At 49.1% G+C, this 20,827-nt stretch overlaps 1 protein-coding gene across 2 annotated transcripts in view, besides 3 other annotated features; it reads left to right on the top strand.

Moving 5' to 3' along the window:
* Positions 6,175–20,827, top strand: part of VWF (von Willebrand factor) — a 175,794-nt gene continuing 161,141 nt past the window's right edge. The window contains exons 1-5 of one of the 2 annotated variants that reach the window (NM_000552.5): positions 6,175–6,424; positions 7,649–7,703; positions 9,507–9,671; positions 19,877–19,979; positions 20,263–20,471. In NM_000552.5, the coding sequence (NP_000543.3) occupies positions 7,649–7,703; positions 9,507–9,671; positions 19,877–19,979; positions 20,263–20,471 (532 nt within the window). In that variant the 5' untranslated portion in view covers positions 6,175–6,424. The other variant, XM_047429501.1, reaches the window with a different exon arrangement.
* Positions 11,648–11,942: a silencer, noted in NCBI's record as "tiled region #6202; K562 Repressive non-DNase unmatched - State 21:Repr". NCBI's record gives its function as "represses a minimal TATA promoter and a strong SV40 promoter by Sharpr-MPRA in K562 cells {active_cell/tissue: K562}" and the evidence as "EXISTENCE:reporter gene assay evidence [ECO:0000049][PMID:27701403]".
* Positions 13,583–14,084: an enhancer, noted in NCBI's record as "H3K4me1 hESC enhancer chr12:6225927-6226428 (GRCh37/hg19 assembly coordinates)". NCBI's record gives its function as "activates a minimal SCP1, AML or CMV promoter by ChIP-STARR-seq in naive H9 embryonic stem cells {active_cell/tissue: H9 hESC(naive)}" and the evidence as "EXISTENCE:reporter gene assay evidence [ECO:0000049][PMID:30033119]".
* Positions 14,085–14,588: an enhancer, noted in NCBI's record as "H3K4me1 hESC enhancer chr12:6225423-6225926 (GRCh37/hg19 assembly coordinates)". NCBI's record gives its function as "activates a minimal SCP1, AML or CMV promoter by ChIP-STARR-seq in naive H9 embryonic stem cells {active_cell/tissue: H9 hESC(naive)}" and the evidence as "EXISTENCE:reporter gene assay evidence [ECO:0000049][PMID:30033119]".

Genomic DNA, 20,827 nt, shown 5'->3' with positions numbered 1-20,827 from the left:
ATTGCTACTTTACTAATAGGGCCACTTCAAAGATTGTATTTTATAACTATATGGGAACATAATAGATTTTAAAAAGGAATCTTGCGGCAAACTTCTAAACTCTTAGGTAGATTCTTTTGAATTTTTCTATGTACACATTCATATCTTCAAATAATAACTATTTTGCTTTTTCCTAAGCTCCATACCTCATATTTTCTCTTCTTCTCTTACTTTGCTGGCCTGGGCATCTGATCCAATATTGACTAGCAGTGATGACATTGAACATGCTTGTCGGCCGGGTGCGGTGGCCAACGCCTGTAATCCCAGCACTTTGGAAGGCTGAGGCGGGTGGATCACGAGGTCAGGAGATCGAGACCATCCTGGCTAACACGGTGAAACCCCGTCTCTACTAAAAATACAAAAAAATTAGCCGGGCGTAGTGGCAGGCACCTGTAGTCCCAGCTACTCAGGAGGCTGAGGCAGGAGAATGGCATGAACCTGGGAGACGGAAATTGCAGTGAGCCGAGATCGCACCACTGCACTCCAGCCTGGCTACAGAGCGAGACTCAGTCTCAAAAAAAAAAAAAAAAAAAAAAAAAAAAGAACATGCTTGCATGTTCAAGTAATTATCCTGCGTCACCCTCCCTAGAAGCTGGGACTACAGGCGCGCGCCAGCGGCATGCCCAGCTAATTTTTGTATTTTTAGTAGAGACGGGGTTTCACCATGTTGGCCAGGATGGTCTAAATCTCTTGACCTCGTGATCCACAGGCCTCGGCCTCCCAAAACGCTGGGATTACAGGCGTGAGCCACCGCGCCCGGCCTTGTTCTGGTTTTTAAAGGGAAAGTGGCTTCCATTTTACCATAAGTATGAAATATGCTCTGTGTCTCAGGCCAAGGACCTTCCCTTCTTTTTATAGGTTACTTAAGTGTTTTGTTTACTTGTTTTCCATAACTGGGTGTTGTTGACTTTTACAAAACTGAAAGCTTTTCTGCTTTATAATTTAATCGTTTTTAAAAATAAATTTTAAGCTTATATTATGAAGTGCACATAAATCTATAGATTCCATCTTCCTGGTGCATTGATCTTTGTATCACCTTTTTCTACTCTTTGGTGCTAATGATGACTTTGATCTTAAGGTCCACTGTGTGTGATAGTGGTATAAAACGCTTTTCCTTGGCCATCACTTGCCTCTCCTTTCTTTTCCTTACGGTCTTTGTGTGTTTATATTTTAGGACTGTCTCTTGAACATTGCTGGATTGTGTGCCTTTTTAAAGAAATCCAATTTGATAATCTCTACCTTTTTATTATTGATTATTGATCTGTTTGAATTTTTTGTACTGTTGCATTTACATTTTATACTATTTGTCTTGCTTTTTCCATTTTTCTCCTAGATCAATCTAGTTTTTAAAAATTTCTTGTTTTTTTTCGATAGGTTTGGAAAACATACATTCAATTCTATTCTTTCAGTAGCCTCCCTTAAAATCTTACTATGCAGTATAGCCTTAACTAAGTCTAAAGTGATCATGACCTGTTTCTTCCTTCTGAGCCATGCAAGGACCTTAATACACTTTCACTCCTGTCTTACATGTCATTGCTATCTGGTATTTTGGTTCTAATTTTTAATAACTCTCCAACTTATCATTACCATTGTTATTGTTTTATATAATGACTGCCTGCTCATATTTACCCCCAGATTTACTATTTTATTTATTTACCTTTTCTTGGCATCCTGTTTCTAGGCTGAATTTTCTTCTTCCTGGCAGGGCGAGGTGGCTCACACCTGTAATCCCAGCACTTTGAGAGGCCGAAGCAGGAAGACTGCTTGAGCCCAGGAGCTCTAGGAGTTTGAGACCAGCCTAGGTAACATGGCAAAACCCTGTCTCTACAAAAAAATACAAAAATTAGCCAGGTATGGTGGTACATGCCCATAGTCCCAGCTACTAGGGAGGCTGAGGTGGGAGGATCGCTTGAGCCCAGAAGGTTTAGGCTGCAGTGAGTTGTGACTGTGTCACTGCGCTCCACCCTGGGTGACAGAGACCCTGTCTCAGAAACAATAACAAAAAATGTTTTTTCTCCCTGAAATTCCTTCTTTAGTAGTTTCTTCAGAAAGGACTGTTAATGTTAAGCCCACTCTGTTTTTCCAAAAAAAAAAAAAAAAAAAAAGTCTATGTTTCCTCAACTCTGAACAATAATTTACAGGTAGACCAGATGTTACAGTCCCTCTGCCACGGCCCTCTAACCCCATCTCTCCGTTTCTTCTAGACTACCAGTGTCTGCTCCTCCGTGCCTGAGGGCCAGAAGTGTTGAGGGCTGAATGCCTCCTGAAGCAGCCTTGACAATAACTGACAGGAAGGAGTAAGTGTAGAAACTCTCCTGCTCCCTGACCCAAGAGTGGGAAGATTCAGAGGCATGGATCTTACATTTTCCCAGACTTCCCTCCAGAAGGAAGCTTTCTTGTCCACTTGGTGGCTGGCATAATAAACATCTTTTATTGACTGCTTTCCCTGCCCCGTATCACATTCCCACTTCCCTGCCGATGCTTCCTGTCCTCCCAAATCAATTATCTACACTAAAATACTCAGGGTCTGCTTCTGGGACTTCAAACTAAGACACTGCATATAGAATTCTCCACAAATGGACTTCTTCTCTCAGCACTTCTCTTTGGATCTTCTAATTCTATCATGTTTCTTAATTCTGCCTCCATTTTTTTTTTTTTTTTTTTTTTTTTTTGAGATGGAGTCTCACTCTGTCACCCAGGCCAAAGTGCAGTGGTGTGATCTTGGCTCACTGCAACCTCTGCCTCCTGGGTTCAAGCAATCCTCCTGCCCCAGCCTCTTGAATAGCTGGAATTACAGGCATGCACCACCATGCAAGGCTAATAGTTGTATTTTTAGTAGAGATGGGATTTCAACACGTTGGCCAGGCTGGTCTCGAACTCCTGACCACAAGTGATCTGCCTTACTTGGGCTCCCAAAGTGCTGGGATTACAGGCATAAGCCACTGTGCCTGGCTGCTCTTCCATTTTTTCATCTCTATATTTGAGTGATTTCTTTAGAACCATTTTTCAGCTTTTTTTTTCCCAAAAATATCTGGTGTTTTTGAATTTTTCAATTAATTTACTATATACATTTCTTAAAGTTCTTTTTTTTTTTTTTTGGGACAGTATCTCACTCTATTGGCTAGGCTGGAGTGCGCGATTATGGCTCACTGCAACCTCAACCTCCTGGGCTCAAGGGGTCCTCCCTCCTACCTCAGCCTCCTGAGTAGCTGTGACCACAGGCATGCACCGCCAGGCCCAGCTAATTTTTTATTTTTATTTTTTGTAGAGATGGGGTCTTGCTGTGTTGTGTAGGCTAGTCTCAAATTACTGAGCACAGACAATCCTCTTGCCTCTGCCTCCCAAAGTGTTAGGATTACAGGTGTGAGCCTCCACGTCTGGCCTTAAAGTTCTTTTTCAAGTTTTCCTCCTGTTCTTTCTTTTTTTTTTTTTTTTAACGGACTCTCACTCGGTCACCAGGCTGGAGTGCTGTGGCATGATCTTGGCTCACTGCAGCCTCCGCTTCCCGGGTTCAAGCGATTCTCCTGCCTCAGCCTCCAGAGTAGCTGGGACTACAGGTGCGTGCCACCATGCCCAGCTGATTTTTGTATTTTTAGTAGAGATGGGGTTTCACCATATTGGCCAGGATGGTCTTGATCTGTTGACCTTGTGATCCACCCACCGTGAGCCACCGTGCCCTGCCTTGAAAAAAGTTTATTCTTTGTAAAGACAGGGTCTTGCTGTGTTGCCCAGGCTGGTCTTGAACTCCTGGTCTCAAGCGATTATCCCATCTCAGCCTCCCAAAGTGCCAGGATTATAGACATGAACCACCGTGCCTAGCCTCTATTATAATTTTAAACACTCATTTTTTTCTTTTTATCTTTCTCTGATGATTTTATTATCTGAAATTCTTAGGGATTTAATTCTTGCTCATGGTAGATTGTTTTCTCAAGTGTTGAAAAATTTGTGATTTTGAATTCATCGTCAAGAGAGCTTTATTTGCATGAGTGCAAAGGATGAAAATTCTAGACTGGGCGTGGTGGCTCACGCCTGTAATCCCAGCACTTTGGGAGACCGAGGTGGGCAGATCACGAGGTCAGGAGTTTGAGACCAGCCTGGCTAACATAGTGGAACCCCATCTCTACTAAAAATACAAAAAATTAGCTGGGTGTAGTGGTGTGTGCATGTAATCCCAGCTACTTGGGAGGCTGAGGCAGGAGAATTGCTTGAAGCCGGGAGGCAGAGGTTGCAGTGAGCCATGATTGCATCACTGCACTCCAGCCCAGCGGACAGTGCGAGACTCCATCTCAAAAAAAAAAAAAGAAAGAAAAGAATATTCTAAAAAAAGACTTAATTCCCCCCGCCACCCCACCCCAAAACAAGTGGAGACAGGCAAACTTCCTTATCTTCTAGGTTGGGGGATGGATTTTTTTCCTGGTCCACTGTTTGGAAGATGTTTCCCTTCAAACTTTCAGCTTTTGCAGGGATCTCCGTTCTAGTTCTCCCTCTGGGTCAGGCCCGTAGCTGCACTGCCCATTCTTGTAATGTGCGGCCTCCAGTCTGGAGGGTTCCCAGACTGGCCTACGCTAGGCCACCCATGGGCCTACCCTGCCTCATGCTCATTTAGGCTCCTCTTCCTCATTGACCCTTTAAGATATTCCTTACTTTCCTCCCAGATCAACTGTGGATTTAAAGAACATTTGTTGTATTTAGCACAGCATTTAAAGATATTTTGTAATGAAAGGGTTTTCAGATTAGTTATTTAGTTTTTTTAAATAAGAGCTGGAAGTGGAAATCCCGATGGCCTTTTCTTTTCTTTTCTTTTTTTTCTTGAGACGGAGTCTTGCTCTGTCACCCAGGCTGGAGTGCAGTGGCTCGATCTCAGCTCACTGCAAGCTCCGCCTCCCGGGTTCACGCCATTCTCCTGCCTCAGCCTCCCGAGTAGCTGGGACTACAGGCGCCCGCCACCACGCCTGGCTAATTTTTTGTGTTTTTAGTAGAGACGGGGTTTCACTATGTTAGCCAGGATGGTCTTGATCCCTTGACCTCGTGATCCGCCCACCTCGGCCTCCCAAAGTGCTGGGATTACAGGCGTGAACCACCGTGCCCGGCCCCCCAATGGCCTTTTCTACTGTCTCATGCTGATTCTGCCTCTGGTGCCATTTTTCTTCCTTGGGAGTGTGCATCTTCCTCTCCTGGGGCGGTAAAGGGAGTAGCAGAGTGCGAGGTATGTGGGAAGGGAGGAGGTTGGAACCTAGTGGTTTCTCAAAGTCTTAGGGCAGGAGGTATCATGGAGAAGCAGTGAGGAGGTCTTCCATACCCAGACATGCCTCAGGGTGCTTGTCTCAGTGCCTGGAATCCCAGCACGAGAGTCATCTTCCCCCCACCGCTGCCCATTGCATCAGTTACTTATTTTAGTAGGAATTAGTTTAGCAGATGGTGTTGAGAATTAGGCTTTTGGGAATGGGAGGCTGGGAAGAAGAATTGTGTGTGTGTGTGTGTGTGTGTGTGTGTGTGTGTGTGTGTAAGATCAGGGTACCAGAAGTGGGTGGAAATGTCCTTGAGAATTAGAATTATTAGAATGTAGCAACAGTAGAAGTATTAGACTCAAACCATCACTCCCCACCTTCACCATTTTACAAAGGCTTAGGCTTGTGGCCAAGACCTTCATCTTTAGCCGATCCATTCAACCCTGGCCAGGATCCAAATGGACTGTTTTTGTCAGGGCCAGGACCGGATCCTTCATACCTGGGGTGCATAGGAAGTGTTAGTACTCCCCTTCCTCCAAACACAGCAGCAAAATTGGCTCAGGTTGAGGTGTTTTTCTCAACTTCCCTGGAGTCCAGCCCTGGAAGCTGGATCAGGAAGCTGTGTTGTTCTACTGTGATTCCCCCTGGCCTGTATCAGCTTGCCCTGAAACAACCAGCATTCCTGGTTATCCCACACAGGTGGGGCACTCTAGGAAGACCAGGGATCAAGTGTGGGGGTGTAGGGATAGGGGGTGTTTGGGGAGGGCAAGGCAGTTAATTAAGGCAGCTGCCAGGAGGTCTCCCTCCAAACTCTACAAAGCTTTATCAGCTTGGAGGTACTTCTAATACCATTTCCTTTCATTGTTTCCTTTTGGTAATTAAAAGGAGGCCAATCCCCTGTTGTGGCAGCTCACAGCTATTGTGGTGGGAAAGGGAGGGTGGTTGGTGGATGTCACAGCTTGGGCTTTATCTCCCCCAGCAGTGGGGACTCCACAGCCCCTGGGCTACATAACAGCAAGACAGTCCGGAGCTGTAGCAGACCTGATTGAGCCTTTGCAGCAGCTGAGAGCATGGCCTAGGGTGGGCGGCACCATTGTCCAGCAGCTGAGTTTCCCAGGGACCTTGGAGATAGCCGCAGCCCTCATTTGCAGGGGAAGGTATGGCCTTTGGAAGGAGAGCTGGCTCAGTTGTGGGAGGAAGATGCAGGACTGACTGATCCCTGCTCCTGGGGAGCTGGAGTTCTCTGTCGCTGGACTAGAAGGGCTTTGTTTGGAGGGGCAATTCAATTCAGCCAGGGATGATCCTAATACTCCCTCCTCCACTTGCCTCTGAGGGTCCTGGGGCTGCTTTTCTTCATGCAGTGGGTTTTACTGTTTGATAGTACTTCACTCAAATGAGTTGGAATGAAGTTTGCCCTCACCTCTGAGAACCTGGGAGCAGCTGAATGTACCTGCGTGTTAGGACTGGGAGGGGACACCTGCTTGGAGACCGAGACCTGGCAGTATCTGACATCTCAGTGTTCCTTCCACAGATGTATCACAGATTGGCTTGATTTCACCTTTGGCTGGATGGGACCTTAGGTAGGAAGGGAGTCACCCCCAGTGAATCTCAGGCAGCAGATTCTGCACTTCATTTAACAACTTTTCCCGAGGAGAGGGGCTACAGCAGGGGCTCTAAGTGACTTGGGGTACGCTCTGCCAGCCAGGATGAATTGTCCCTCTCTTGGGGGTCACACAGTGGGGAAGTCTGCCTGCATCCAGGGCCGCTGGACTCCTGTCCATTTTTTCAGATGAACTCAGCAAACATTTGCTGGGCATCTCCTGGGTGCTAAGCATCTTGCCAGGTGCTGGGGTTGGAGGCAAGGGAGACAGCCTTTGCTCTTGTGAAGGCACTTGTGGTACAGAGTCAGGGGCCAACAAGCAAACCGTCAAGTTGGTGGTTCCTGAGCATTCTCTATGTCTGGGCTGCTGTGGTGGGCACACAAGTGTAAGACGGTTCCTACTCGCCAGTTTGGATGCAGAGGCAGGAAGGAATGAGGTGTGTGTTAGCTCCCAGCTGCTTCAGGAGGCAGGGATGTGAGGCCCAGCGGGCCTGGAGGGAAGGCAGCGTTTTCCTCCTGTCTTGGGCCTGGGACTGCTGTCTGTGGAAAGGTGCCCACAGGTCCCAGCTCACAGCGATTGTTACCCTTGGGCCTGGCACTGGCCAGGGGTTTTTTCGGGGGCCAGAAGTCCATGTTCAAAGGGGAAAAGGGGGTCACGAGGATCAATCTTTTCTCCTGCTTTAAAGAAATGTTTTTGCTACTGCATGCCCTGATAGTCGCCACACCAGCAGCCGCCTACCTGGGCAGCAATGACCAGCTCACGTCTCTTGCTTCTTTGCAGATGATTCCTGCCAGATTTGCCGGGGTGCTGCTTGCTCTGGCCCTCATTTTGCCAGGTAGGTACAAAAGGGCCTCCATTTCTCATTCCTGCCCCAGGGCCATCTGGAGTGACACCTTTCCGGGAATCAGCAGGTGTGTCTGGAGCTCACCTGTGTGCCCAGCCCTAACTTAGGCTGTTGGTTGCCTCCTGTGAAGGTTCTGCGGAGTTCCCACCCTTGACTTGTATTCCAGAGACCAGGTGCCTGCAAATGCCATCTCCTGTTGGGGAATTAAGAAGCATAAAGGTGGCACAGAACTGTCCTATATTATGGGGGCACAGGATGAGGAGGAAGGAATCCAAGACTTGGATGGATTATTAGTTTTCGATAAGATTGTGGAGGTCACCTTGTTGAACCTCCCATGGTACAATGAAGAGACTGAGGGTCAGAGAGGAGAAATGACTGCTCCAAAGTCTCCTAGAGCCAAAATCAGAGGTCAGTCTTCCTGGGTTCCAGGCCAACACCCTTTCCACTGCACTGCATCATACTGCTGCCCTTCCCTTGCTAAGATTCTGGGTCTGCAAATGGCGGGAGGGGACTTTTGACCTTGGGCGCTTTCCACTTAGATCTCTCAGGTCAGCAGCATCCAGCTACTGCCCACAGGTGAGTCTGGGAAAAAAAATACACATTTGTCACACTCTCTGCATCTTCCTACTAGGTGGGTCTTTTGCCGGGGAACCCAGAACACTTAGAGATTTACTGCTGTATTTCCCCACCTGCCGACACACACACACCCATAGTCAGTGAAGGAGTTAGCCTGTGACGCCGGAGGAGTTCACACTTCAGAGAGTCTATGTGTCAGGCACACAGTCTGATCTGTTTAAAATTTAACATGCCCAAGACATGCTAGTAGATTTATGTACAAAGATGCTCACTGCAATCTATCTATAATATTAAAACATGGAAAAATGCTAGAAACCTAACAATAGAGGGCTATACTATAGACATTCAGATGCAAAATATAATGCAGCCACTAAAAACCGCATATTGGAAGTATATACACTAGCACGACAAATTGTTTACAATCTATTGAGAAATAAACAGAGGTTATAGGTAGTTTGCACAAGTTGGTCACCAATTTATAAAAAACCCACAGCTGTATATATGCTATACAACAAAATGGAAAGATGAACATTGAAATGTTAACTCTAATCATCGCTGAATGTTGGGTTACAGATGGTTTTAACTTCTTTGTCTTTTCTTTTCTTTTTCTTTTTCTTTTTTTTTTCGAGACAGAGTCTCACTCTGTCGCCCAGTCTAGAGTGCAGTGGTATGATGTTGGCTCCCTGCAACCTCTGCCTCCTGGGCTCAAGTGATTCTCCTGCCTCAGCCTCACCAGTAGCTGGGATTACAGGCGCCCACCACTACACCCGGCTAGTTTTTGTATTTTTAGTAGAGACAGGGTTTCGCCATGTTGGGCAGGCTGGTCTTGAATTCCTGACCTCAGGTGATCTGCCCACCTCGGCCTCCCAAAGTGCTGGGATTATAGGCGTGAGCCACTGTGCCCGGCCAGCTTCTTTGTTTTCTTCTGTATGCCCCAAATTTTTAATAATGGACATGATGACATTTTAAATCAGTAAGTAAATGTCATTGAAACTAATGGATTTCCTGAAAAACTGTTCCTTAGTTATTGCTGTGAGTCTGGGGTCATATCTGGGAGCTGAAAGCAACAGCTTTAGTCTCATTTAGGATGGAAAATACCTCCCCACAGCCCAGTTTCTATCAGAGGCAGTCTAATTTCTACGAGGCCAGAGAGGTTTGAGCTGATGGTCCCAGTTGTGCCCTGAGATCACCAGCCCAACCTGTGGCCTCTCCCTCCAGGGACCCTTTGTGCAGAAGGAACTCGCGGCAGGTCATCCACGGCCCGATGCAGCCTTTTCGGAAGTGACTTCGTCAACACCTTTGATGGGAGCATGTACAGCTTTGCGGGATACTGCAGTTACCTCCTGGCAGGGGGCTGCCAGAAACGCTCCTTCTCGATTATTGGTGAGTTCTGGGCACTGCAGGGAGGACTTCAGAGGGAGGGCTGGCTGAGCTTAGCCCTGGTGTGGGGGAGGATTCCTGCTCTCAGGACAGTGTCTGAGCGGAAAGGTCACTGCTGAGAACAAGGAGAGGAACAGCCTTTCTGTGACACGTAGCCCCTCTTGGCTTTCCCCGGGTCTCTCCCCACGGGAGCCGGGTGGGATGGATGAAGAGAGTCTTCATCTTTGGTAGTCCACTGTGTCCGTTGCTCTGGGGCCCGGCGATGCCCTGGGAACTCCACAGCATCAAGGCAAATGATGAACTAGAGAAGGTGCTTTGGAACGTGTAAAACTCCTTGCCAGAGAGAAGACTCGTTGTTGTTTTCTTGGTGGCCTGTGGATCAGAACATCAGCTTATGCTGAGGACTTCCTGTATTCCTGCAGAAGGGCTGGTACTGTCCCTGCCATGTCCCTGCATCCCCACAACAGCCCTGGGATGTAGCTGTAGTCATCCCAGTTTTACCAATGGAGAACCAAGGCTCATGAAGGTTGCATGATCCTTCCAAGGCCTGACAGACAATAAAAGGTGGAGCTGAGGCCGGGCACGGTGGCTCATGCCTGTAATCCCAGTACTTTGGGAGGCCAAGGTGGGTGGATCACCTGAGGTCAAGAGTTTGAGACCAGCCTGGCCAACATGGTGAAACCCCATCTCTACTAAAAATACAAAAATTAGCCGGGTGTGGTGGTGTGTGTCTATAATCCCAGCTACTTGGGAGGCTGAGGCAGGAGAATCGCTTGAACCTGGTTGCAATAAGCTGAGATACACTCCAGCCTGGGCAACAGAGCGAGACTCCATCTCAAAAAAAAAAACAACCCACAAAAAACAAAAAAACTGGACTAAGCAGGCCAAGGACAGAGCCCAAGGCCAAGGCTTAATCTAGAAGAGGGCTCAGAAGTGCCCCACTCAAGTTTGGTCAAGGAGGGAGTCTTTGGCAACACCTGGACACTTACCTGAGATCTGGGCTGTAGGGCTCCTGGGGTCATTGCTCCATCAGTCAGCGGGGACTGACACAGGGTCCTCCATGTGCCCAGCACTGGGCTAGGCTCTGTCTAGCACCTGGCTATAGCTATGAGCTCCCCGCATTCCTGCTTTCTCCCTGAGGCCATCTTTGCTACCTGCCCTGACTCTGCTGGGAAACTTATCACATATGACTTCTGGGCACTGCCATCCTTCCCACTCCTCCATGAGCTCCTCAGGGACAAGGAGCATGTCTCACTCATCTGTGTTTCCTGGTGCTTAGCTCACCGAGTTCTCTGTTGTGCTGAAGATTATGTATTTATTTATTTATTTTTGAGACGGAGTCTTGCTCTGTTGCCCAGGCTGGAGTGCAGTGAGTGGTGCGATCTTGGCTCACTGCAACCTCCGCCTCCTGGGTTCAAGCAATTCTCCTGCCTCAGCCTCCCAAGTAGCTGGGCTTACAGGTGCCACCATGCTTGGCTAATTTTTGTATTTTTAGTAGAGACAGGGTTTCACCATATTGGCCAGGCTGGTCTCGAACTCCTGACCTCAGGTGATCCACCCGCCTCAGCCTCCCAAAGTGCTGGGATTACAGGCATGAGCCACCATGCCTGGTCTGAAGATGTTTACAGAGTGTGTGTGAGGAGCCCTAGGGAAGGAGCTTTGATTGGCCAGAGAAGACAGGGGAGGGTGCTGCATGTGGTGGGGACAGCATGAGAAGTGGGGAGGCTGGAAGGGGCATGTACTCCTGACATGGAGCCCTGGGGAGGTCAGTGTGGCTGGAGCAGCAGTTGCCAAACTCCAGGCTGCATCAGGACCACCCGGAGAGCTGTGACAAACAGATCACTGGGCCCTGCCCCTGGAGTTCTGACTCAGTAGAAATGGAAGGGGGCCTGAAAATTTCCCAACTGCTGCTGCTGCTCTTAGGGTGGGTAACCAGACTTTGAGGGTGCGGGACTGGAGGAGAGTAGGCTGGGAGGCTGTACCATCGGGTGAAGCTGCAGTGTAGGGTCTTGGAGTCTGATGGGGACTTTGAGTCGATTCCGCAGGCTGTGAGGAACTAGTATAGGGTCTTGTGCAGCAGGGAAGTGGTGAGAGGAAACTGGTTCTTTGCCAAGATGGTCCTGAAAAGGAGAGAGGTAGGAGGCGGAATGGCCTTGGCCGTGGTAACCAGGGAGGTAGTGAAAAGGCCAGAGGCGCCCCAGGGCATGACAAATAAGAAAGTCATCCTCAACACTGACCGTGAGGGTCCCAACTTGCTTCAGAGGCTGCAGCTGGGGAGGAGCTGGAAGAGCAGCTGGAGAGAACCCCTGAACCCCTGCCCCTGGGAAGCTGAAGGCTCATGCCCTCCCTACCTTGGTGACCCCAGATTTTATTTAAAGTGGATTTTCCCATTTTATAAATCACGGCAGAGCTGATACAGACCACTACCTGTGATGGCTCTGGGGTTGTCAGTGGGAATGGAGGGTTAGAAGTGACCGGAAGAGGCCGGGTGCACGGGTGCAATGGCTCATGCTTGCAGTCCCAGCACTTTGGGAGGCCGAGGGGGGCGGATCACCTGAGGTTGGGAGATCGAGACCAGCCTGGCCAACATGGTGAAACCCCGTCACTACTAAAAATACAAAAATTAGCCAGGCGTTGTGGTGGGTGCCTGTATCCCAGCTGCTCGGGAGGTTGAGGCACAAGAATCACTTGAACTTGGGAGGTGGAGGTTGCTGTGAGCCGAGATTGCGCCATTGCACTCCAGCCTGGGCACAGAGTGAGACTCTGTCTCAAAAAAAAAAAAAAAAAAAAAAAAAAAAAAGTGACCAGAGGAAGATTTTGATGGAGACACTGCAGTGCCCGGGGTGGGGGCGGGTGGATTGCTGTCTGGACTCCATAATCTCTGTTAGTTCAGCTCTGCTCTGGACTCCCTGCCCCGAGACGGGCTGGTAAACAACACATACTAATACCTTAGTCCCAGGCACAGAGTTCATGTTCTGGGCTCAGAGAGCCAAGTCAGCATGTTGAAAAAGCTCCCTTCCCCTATTTGAGCCCAACTCCAGACCTCTCCCCAAGTCAGGGTAGCCCTACCAGGTGGGGACATGTAGCGTGTGCTGGTGCCTCTGGGCTGTCTCGGTCACCTCCTTCAGGAAGCCCTCTTGCCCATTCCACCCGTCCAGCACTGGGCTCATCAACTCGTGCTCACTGGTCGGTTTCCGTCCCACAGAACTGGGTGGCTCTGCCCCCAGCAGGAAATGGAAGCACAGACAGAGCCAGAGTTGCAGTCGGAAAACCCGTGTTCTCCTCTGCTCTCCCTCTTCACTGAGTGTTCCGAGGGCAGTTGTGCTGTCTTAGCCTCCAATTCCTCATCTTTTGAAATGGAATCTCGCTCGTGTTGTCCAGGCTGGAAGGCTGGATTGCAGTGGTGCGATCTCGGCTCACTGCAACCTCCCCCTCCCAGGTTCAAGCGATTCTCCTGCCTCAGCCTCCCGAGTAGCTGGGATTACAGGCGTGCGCCACCACACCCTGCTAATTTTGTGTTTTTAGTAGAGACGGGGTTTCTCCATGTTGGTCAGGCTGGTCTCGAACTCCCGACCTCAGGTGATCCGCCCGCCTCGGCCTTGGTTCCTCATCTTTAAAATGGAGATACTGTGAGCATCAAGGGAGACAGGTTATCTGAAAATGTGACTGCTTAGCCAAGCTGAGTTATTGAAAGCAGCCAGCTTAACATGGGGTGTTCACTTGGAATCGCCATGCAGAGACAGGGGCTGCTGGGCCCCCAGGCATTTCCACGAGGTCAGGGTCACTTGAGTTTCAACTCCCCCTCATAATCCACACAGGTTTGTGCTAGAGGTCTGGCCTCTCGGGCCACCGTTTTCTGGGTTTCAGTGGTCACAGAGGAATTTGAAGGGCCATGGAAGGCCTGTCTACCTCAAAACCCCTTGGTGGGATTCCCCACCAGGTCATTATTCTTTTCTTATAAGCTGTTTGCCCTTGTGAAGTGTCCATTTTCTGGGAGATTGTTTGCCTAAACAAGGTTATGGATCAAACACACTTTAATGTAAATTGATTTCATTTTCACCAAAACCGTGCTGCTAACATCATAGAGAATGGGTGGCTGCTTTGCCTCTTGTTGGTGGTGGTGGCAGGTTTGGGGTGTGTGGGAGAAGAGGAAGAATTAGAGGGGGGTGGGCTGGCATTGGTGCATCAGGGCAGCCAGGGGCACTGGGTCAGGGGAGGGAGCCCAGGACTTGGGCCCTGCAGTTTCAGTTTCCGTGCACATGCCTACCTTCTTTTCCATTGTTCTGCAATGACATCCTGTCTCCTTGACCGTAAATCGCACATCCACATTCCTCCCGAGTGCCTGTGGACCTTATTCATATCCTGGGAAAAGTGTTTATGTACGCACACGAAGGGCCACCTGGTGCCAAGGCGAGGCCCCTGTCCTTGATTCTGTCTCCTGGTGAGGCAGGCTCCAGGGTTCGAGGCCAAGGCGACACGGCTGTTTGCCAGACAGCACAGAGGCCAGAGAGAGACTATGGGAGTCCTGGTTCCTGCTCCTCCGTAGAGACTGCTCTTCCTAAGCTACGGCTGCAGGATCTGGCTCTCATACCTGCCAAGAGAGAGCCATCAACAACCAACAGCCTGCTGAGTCACTTCCCCCGGGGAGCCTTAGTTTCCGTGGCATGGTCAGACCAGACCCCTGTTCTCAGTTTGGAGGGAGGGTCACCTGCACCAGAATCACGGGCATAGAAGGTAGAGTGTTTAGTGGAAATGCAGATGAGTGAGTTCCACACTAAAGCCTAAGAGAGCGCCCAGGTCTGACGGTAGTTCCAGCTCCTGGCCTGCTTCTGAAGGTCCCAGGATTCCTCTCACTCTAATATGTGGGCTAGGAGCTTACTCCTCACTCAGCGCCTTAATCACTGCGTTCAGCAGGCCTGGTGGGAGCCTCTGGGAGAGCTTCGCTGGCTTGTCTTGCCTCTTTGGGGTGACAGCCAGCCTCTCTTTTCCTAAGAGTTATAGAAAGTGCTAACCTGGAGGTCTGTGGAGTGCAGGGGTCTCTCCTGGGCTCACCGGCGATTTCTAATGGCTCGTTTTCCTAATGGCTGCACATCATCTGATGCCCCTGAGTTCTGCATGGAGGGAATGAGGGAAATAAAATGCAAGGCTGGTCTGGAGTTCTCCCTGCATTAGTGATTAGTGCAATCCTAGAACACTCCGATGCCCTGTTACGCAGCTTTGTGTTGCAAAAAGGGGATTTGGACAGTCAAAAAAGCCTGAGTGTAGGCTCTGCTCCATTTCCACAGTGGAAACCAGGGGTTCTCAGTCGGGGTGGTTTTCCCCCTGAGGACATTTTGCAGTGTCTGGAGACATTTTGGGTTGTCACAACTGTGGAGTGGGTGCTGCTGGCATCTAGTGGGTAGAGACCAGGAGGCTGCTGGTTCTCCCACCATGCACAGGGAAGTGTCTGGCGCTGAATGCAATAGTAATGCAGTGGAGAAATCCTGCTGTAAACCTAGGCCTTCGTTTCTCCGTCTGTAAAATGAAGTCAGCCTAGATCATTGTTTTCTGAACTGAGTCATGGGCCATGGGTCCTAAAATGAGTTGAGTGGTTATAACTAGCATTTAAAAAGACAGAAAAGGTTAGAAAACATCAGAAAATATCAGAGTGCATGGCACACGGCAAGGGTAAATATGATATGAAACGTGTGTGTGTGTGTCCTGAGTCATAAAGTTGTGTTTTTACTGTGCTTTCTGAGCAAAAGAGTTTAAGAGCCGCTTATTTAGATTCTTCCTGCTGCCATAGTATGTTTTTCTGAATTATAGGCCTAGATCACACTTTGAAAAATCTCATTGCCAGGCTGGACACAGTTACTCATGCCTATAATCCCAATGCTTTGGGAGGCTGAAGCGGGAGGATTGCTTGAGCCCAGGAGTTCGATGCCAGCCTGGGCAACATAGCGAGACCCCCATCTGTACAAAAATATACAAAAATTAGCTGGGCATGGTGGCACACACCTGTAGTTCCAGCTATTTGGGAAGTTGTGACAATAGGATTGCTTGAGCCCAGGAGTTCGAGGGTGAAGTGAGCTGTGATCATATCACTACATGTCATCCTGAGCGATAGAGCAAGACCTCAAAACAAAAGAAAACAAAACCCCAAATTCCCTTGCCACTCCCCTGCTCCGGCTGTGGACTGACTGCTCTTCAAGCCCCCTCAGCCATCCAGGGCCAGGAATTCTCCTTGCCATGCAGTTCAATCCTCACTGAAGGGCACGATGCAGCCCCACTCCTGCCCCTAGACTCCTGTTTTTGGTTTGTCTCTGGGTGGATGGGGGCTGGTTACCAGAACCTGAATCATCCCCTTCAGGAGCCCCAGTTCCTGCGGTAGGTGAAGCTCCAAGGGCAGCCAGCCCCACGTCCCCTGGCTGCCTGGAGCTGCCTCACACAGGCTCAGCCCTGGGCTGCCCCTTGGACTTCCTGATGCTGGTCTCTCCTTGGGCTGCCCAGAGCAAGCCCTTGACATACTTAAAACAGCACTCGCTTGAGTCCCAGCTCTTCATCACTGACTAGCTCTGTGATGATAGGCAAGTTACCCCAGGGTCTGCCGCCTGGCCAGCCCCGAGCCCCGCAGCCTGTGTGGACAGGTTCCTCTGTTATTTACTCTAGGAGGGCTGGGGCTCTCCTTCTCTCCCATACACTTCTCCTGGTTCTCTCCTGTTTGATTTTTCTGCTTCTGCTGAATTCTTGGTTTATTCAGCCTTGCAGGCCTTACTTTACAAACTTATAGCCATAGCGACCTCCGGGCTCCCCTGTGGCACCCGCTCAGCTCTGCCTCCTGTGGAACGAGTACCTTGCTTAAGTGATTTTGCATCTTTGGAAGCCTCTAAGAGCTGTAGATCAGCAGCCACAGGGCCATGCCAACCCCAAGCTGCCTGGCTGCCTCTGAAGCGTTCCCTACCCATTCTCCAGCCACAGTCCCTGGGAGACTTGGTCCCACCCACCCTTTCTGCATCCCCAGGAGAAGGAGAAACACCAAGGAGGGGCTCACGGGGGTTCCTTTCCCATTTCCAGGAGGGAGATGCCTTTGGCTCGGAGGTGACATATTGGTTGAGTTACCCAGTGAAGCCGAGGCAGAACTCCCTGTGAGATGGGATGAAAGGAGGATTCACTGATGGGGAGACAGGCTCAGTGGTAATAGGGACACAGACCCCTGAGCCCAGACCTCGTGGGCTCATTTGTCTGCCATCTGGCAGGTGGAGGCTTCTGCTCTGGCAGGTCTCCAGTGAGGAGTGTGAAGTGGGTCCCTGCCCTGTCACATGGGCTCACTCTGGGCTGTGTGTAGTGTTCAGAGCTCCAGCCCCAGAAAAGGCCGAGGGAGGGATTTGGTCTTGGGCCCAGTGCAAATGCCTAGGGCCCTGGAAGGGAGAGGGTGCAAACTGGAGGTTGTTACCTGGTTGTCCCATTTGTTTGGTTTTTCGACATTTTCTTATGGAAATTTTGAAACATACAGAAAAGTTGAAAGACTTCAAGATCCATATACTCCTCACTCAGATTCTACCATTACTGGTAAATACATTACTGAAAAAAAGAAAAAGTTACTTTGCAGGGCACGGTGGCTCACGCCTGTAATCCTAGCACTTTGGGAGGCCCAGGCAGGCAGATCATGAGGTCAGGAGATCGAGACCATCCTGGCTATGGTGAAACCCCATCTGTACTAAAAATACAACAAATTAGCTGGGCATGGTGGCGGGCACCTGTAGTCCCAGCTACTCGGGAGGCTGAGGCAGGAGAATGGCGTGAACCCGGGAGGCGGAGCTTGCAGTGAGCCGAGATCGCGCCACTGCACTCCAGCCTGGGCGACAGAGCGAGACTCTGTCTCAAAAAAAAAAAAAAAAAAGTTTCTCTACGCAATCACTTTTCCAGTTGTTTCTTTTTCTTTGGCCAATTTCTTGCTGTCAGTAAGTTTGTTCAGCTTCTAAAGGTTTGCTTGCTGTAAAAACTGTTCTAGGTGGGAATGCAGAGCAAGGGAGACACCTCAGCTCAAACAGGACAAGTCCCCTTTCATTTGGCAGGCATCTCCATTTTCTCCCAGTTGTGTTGATCTGGAGCTCCGCAGAATGTGGTTTATGGACTGTGAGTGGTCTGTGTGTCTTTCCTGGTGGCTGCTGCTGCTGGCATATCATTAAAACTATTCCTAGAATAGACTTATTATTTACGTGGGAGAGCCCTCACTGAATTTCCACCAGAAACAAGTCTATTCTGTAGCTCATTCGGGTTGGTTTGGAGTGTTTGTGTGTTCCAGGGTGCATGCTTATGTGTGTGCATGGTGTGTGTGCGTGTGGTGTGTGTGTGTGTGTGTGTGTGTGTCTGTGTGTCTGTGTGTGTGGTTGTCCTCCTGCAGCCTCAGTTCAGCCCAGAGCCCTGCTGGGGACTCTTCCTCTCCTGGCTAGGAGTGAGGAGACCTCTGCCCCAGCTCCTCTGGCCATGACAGCAACACCTTGAGTCAACAGACCTGCCAGGTCTTCTGGGCTTCGTTCCACGGACATCTTAGCCTCTTCTTGCCAAGAAGAAGCCCACACTCCCCTATCCCTTCTAGGAGAAGAGAGATTTGCTCATTTTTAAGACCAACTTTACCCCTGAGTCCTATGCCCCATTCCTTCAGGACCTCAAGGCATTGTGCCCCACACGTCAGCTCTTTGTTTTCTCTGGCTGCCCCTATCTTTCCTATTTCCATTAATTTCTCAGTCTCCAAGGCTTGAGACCAGACTCTCTATTTTCCCTTCTGGGTCTTTTGATTCTTATGACCAATTAGTTATCTTTGAATATCAAAGACCCACCACGAGTAGCAGTTCTTAGAAACTAGGTGAGGTTTGCTAAGCTTTGGTCACGCTGTGAAAAATGTCTTGCCTGTGTTTCCTCTTTCATGCTGGCCACCGTCCCATCACCCTTGTCACCCTGTTCAGCCCTCACAACCACACCATTCTCAGAGCCTATTTTATCATGTGTCTGGATCTTCAGACATTTCCATTGTCAACCATTTAGTGTGTCCTTATTAATTCCATGTGCTGTGTAAGGCGTTTGACCCACACGATCTGTAAACTCCTGGATAATCAAATTCAGCAAACTTAGGTGGAGCTCATGAATCTCCATTTTAAACAAACAGCCCAGGGATTCTGACTTGGGCTGTCCTAAGATACCATTTTATTTATTTATTTATTTTTATTTTTTATTTTTTTTGAGACAGAGTCTTGCTCTGTCACCCAGGCTGGAGTGCAGTGGCGCGATCTCCGCTCACTGCAAGCTCCGCCTCCTGGGTTCACGCCGTTCTTCTGCCTCAGCCTCCCAAAGAACTGGGACCACAGACGCCAGCCACCTCGCCTGGCTAATTTTTTTTTTCTTCATATTTTTAGTAGAGACGGGGTTTCACCGTGTTAGCCAGGATGGTCTCGATCTCCTGACCTCGTGATCCACCCGCCTCAGCCTCCCAAAGTGCTGGGATTACAGGCGTGAGCCACCGCACTCGACCGATACCATTTTAAATAGCACTGCTAGGCCAGAGCGGGGTGGCTCATGCCTGTAATTACTCGCACCAAGGAGCTCAAGACCAGCCTGGGCGACACGGTGAGATCTTGTCTCTACAAAAAGAAAAAAAAAATTAGCTGGATGTGGTGGTACATACTTGTGATCCCAGTTACCCTGGAGGCTGAGGTGGGAGGATAACCTGGGCCCAGGAGGCAGAAACTGCAGCGAGCCATGTTCACATCACTGCACCCCAACCTGGGCAACAGAGCACAACCCTGTCTCAATAAGTGAATGAATGAATGAATAAATAACACTCTCCTAGAGCACCTGTTACCAGTAACTCACAGTGTTGCCTTTTTGTTTGCTGCCTTACAATATACTCAATTGTCGCATGTTTGTCTTCTATTTATACGCAGGTTGTAAACTCCCAGAAGCAAAAGATCATGCTTTTAGATTTTTCTTTTGTGATGTTTGAGAGCCTACCTGAGGGCAATGTATCCAGAAGTCACTCAATAATTATTTTTAGATGAATGGAAAAATGGGTGAGAAAATGAGATTTTTAGGGAGATTTTTGTTGCTCGCTTGTAAAGACTTTTTGGGGCGTTTTCTGCTGAGAAAAGGTTACGTAGATAATGATTCTTAATCAATGTATTCATTTTTTGAGAGGAGTAATAATCACTACTATTGACTTTTTTCTCTTTCAGGGGACTTCCAGAATGGCAAGAGAGTGAGCCTCTCCGTGTATCTTGGGGAATTTTTTGACATCCATTTGTTTGTCAATGGTACCGTGACACAGGGGGACCAAAGGTAAGCCAACAATGTCTGAGTTAGAAAGGACCCTAGGGATCCCCTGACACAACCCCCTCATTTTTAGATGAGGAAGCTGGGGCCCAGAGAATGGAAGCAAATGTTCCAAGGAAGTGAGTAGCAGGGCTGGGTGAGAGCCAGCTCTCCCGATTGCTGATCTAGGTCCTCAGCCACTTTGCACCATGTTCTGAACCCTACAACATGGGGTTGGGGTTAGAAGGTGGGAGAGACATCCAGAAAATGCACAAGAAGCCCACTTCTGAACTTAGCCTTTGCCCTCCAGAGTCTCCATGCCCTATGCCTCCAAAGGGCTGTATCTAGAAACTGAGGCTGGGTACTACAAGCTGTCCGGTGAGGCCTATGGCTTTGTGGCCAGGATCGATGGCAGCGGCAACTTTCAAGTCCTGCTGTCAGACAGATACTTCAACAAGACCTGCGGGCTGTGTGGCAACTTTAACATCTTTGCTGAAGATGACTTTATGACCCAAGAAGGTAAGATGTTCTGGGATACCATTTCCCTAAAGTGTGGCCATGCTTTTTATTTCCTTGCTCATAAACCTTCACTAACATGCCTTCCCTGGCATTCAAGCCTCACTGTGACCTCACCTCAATTTATGTTGCCAACCTTATCTCTTTGCATTCCATTCCAATGCCTAGACCTCTAGTGAAACCAGGTCTTAGAGCTCCTCAAAGCTGACTTCGTTCAACTTTGAATTCTCTGTAGCAACTTGCACGTGGCAGATGGTTGGTCAATGCTGGGTAGTTTGAGTCGATCCTCCTCAGCCCACTACAGTGGAGTGGATAAAATCTATGGAGTGGTCGGTCCTCCACACCATCCAAAAAGGCCA

Source organism: Homo sapiens, chromosome 12, assembly GCF_000001405.40.
Source record: "Homo sapiens chromosome 12, GRCh38.p14 Primary Assembly".
Lineage (NCBI taxonomy): Eukaryota > Metazoa > Chordata > Mammalia > Primates > Hominidae > Homo > Homo sapiens.
This window is presented reverse-complemented; position numbering and strand designations above follow the sequence as displayed.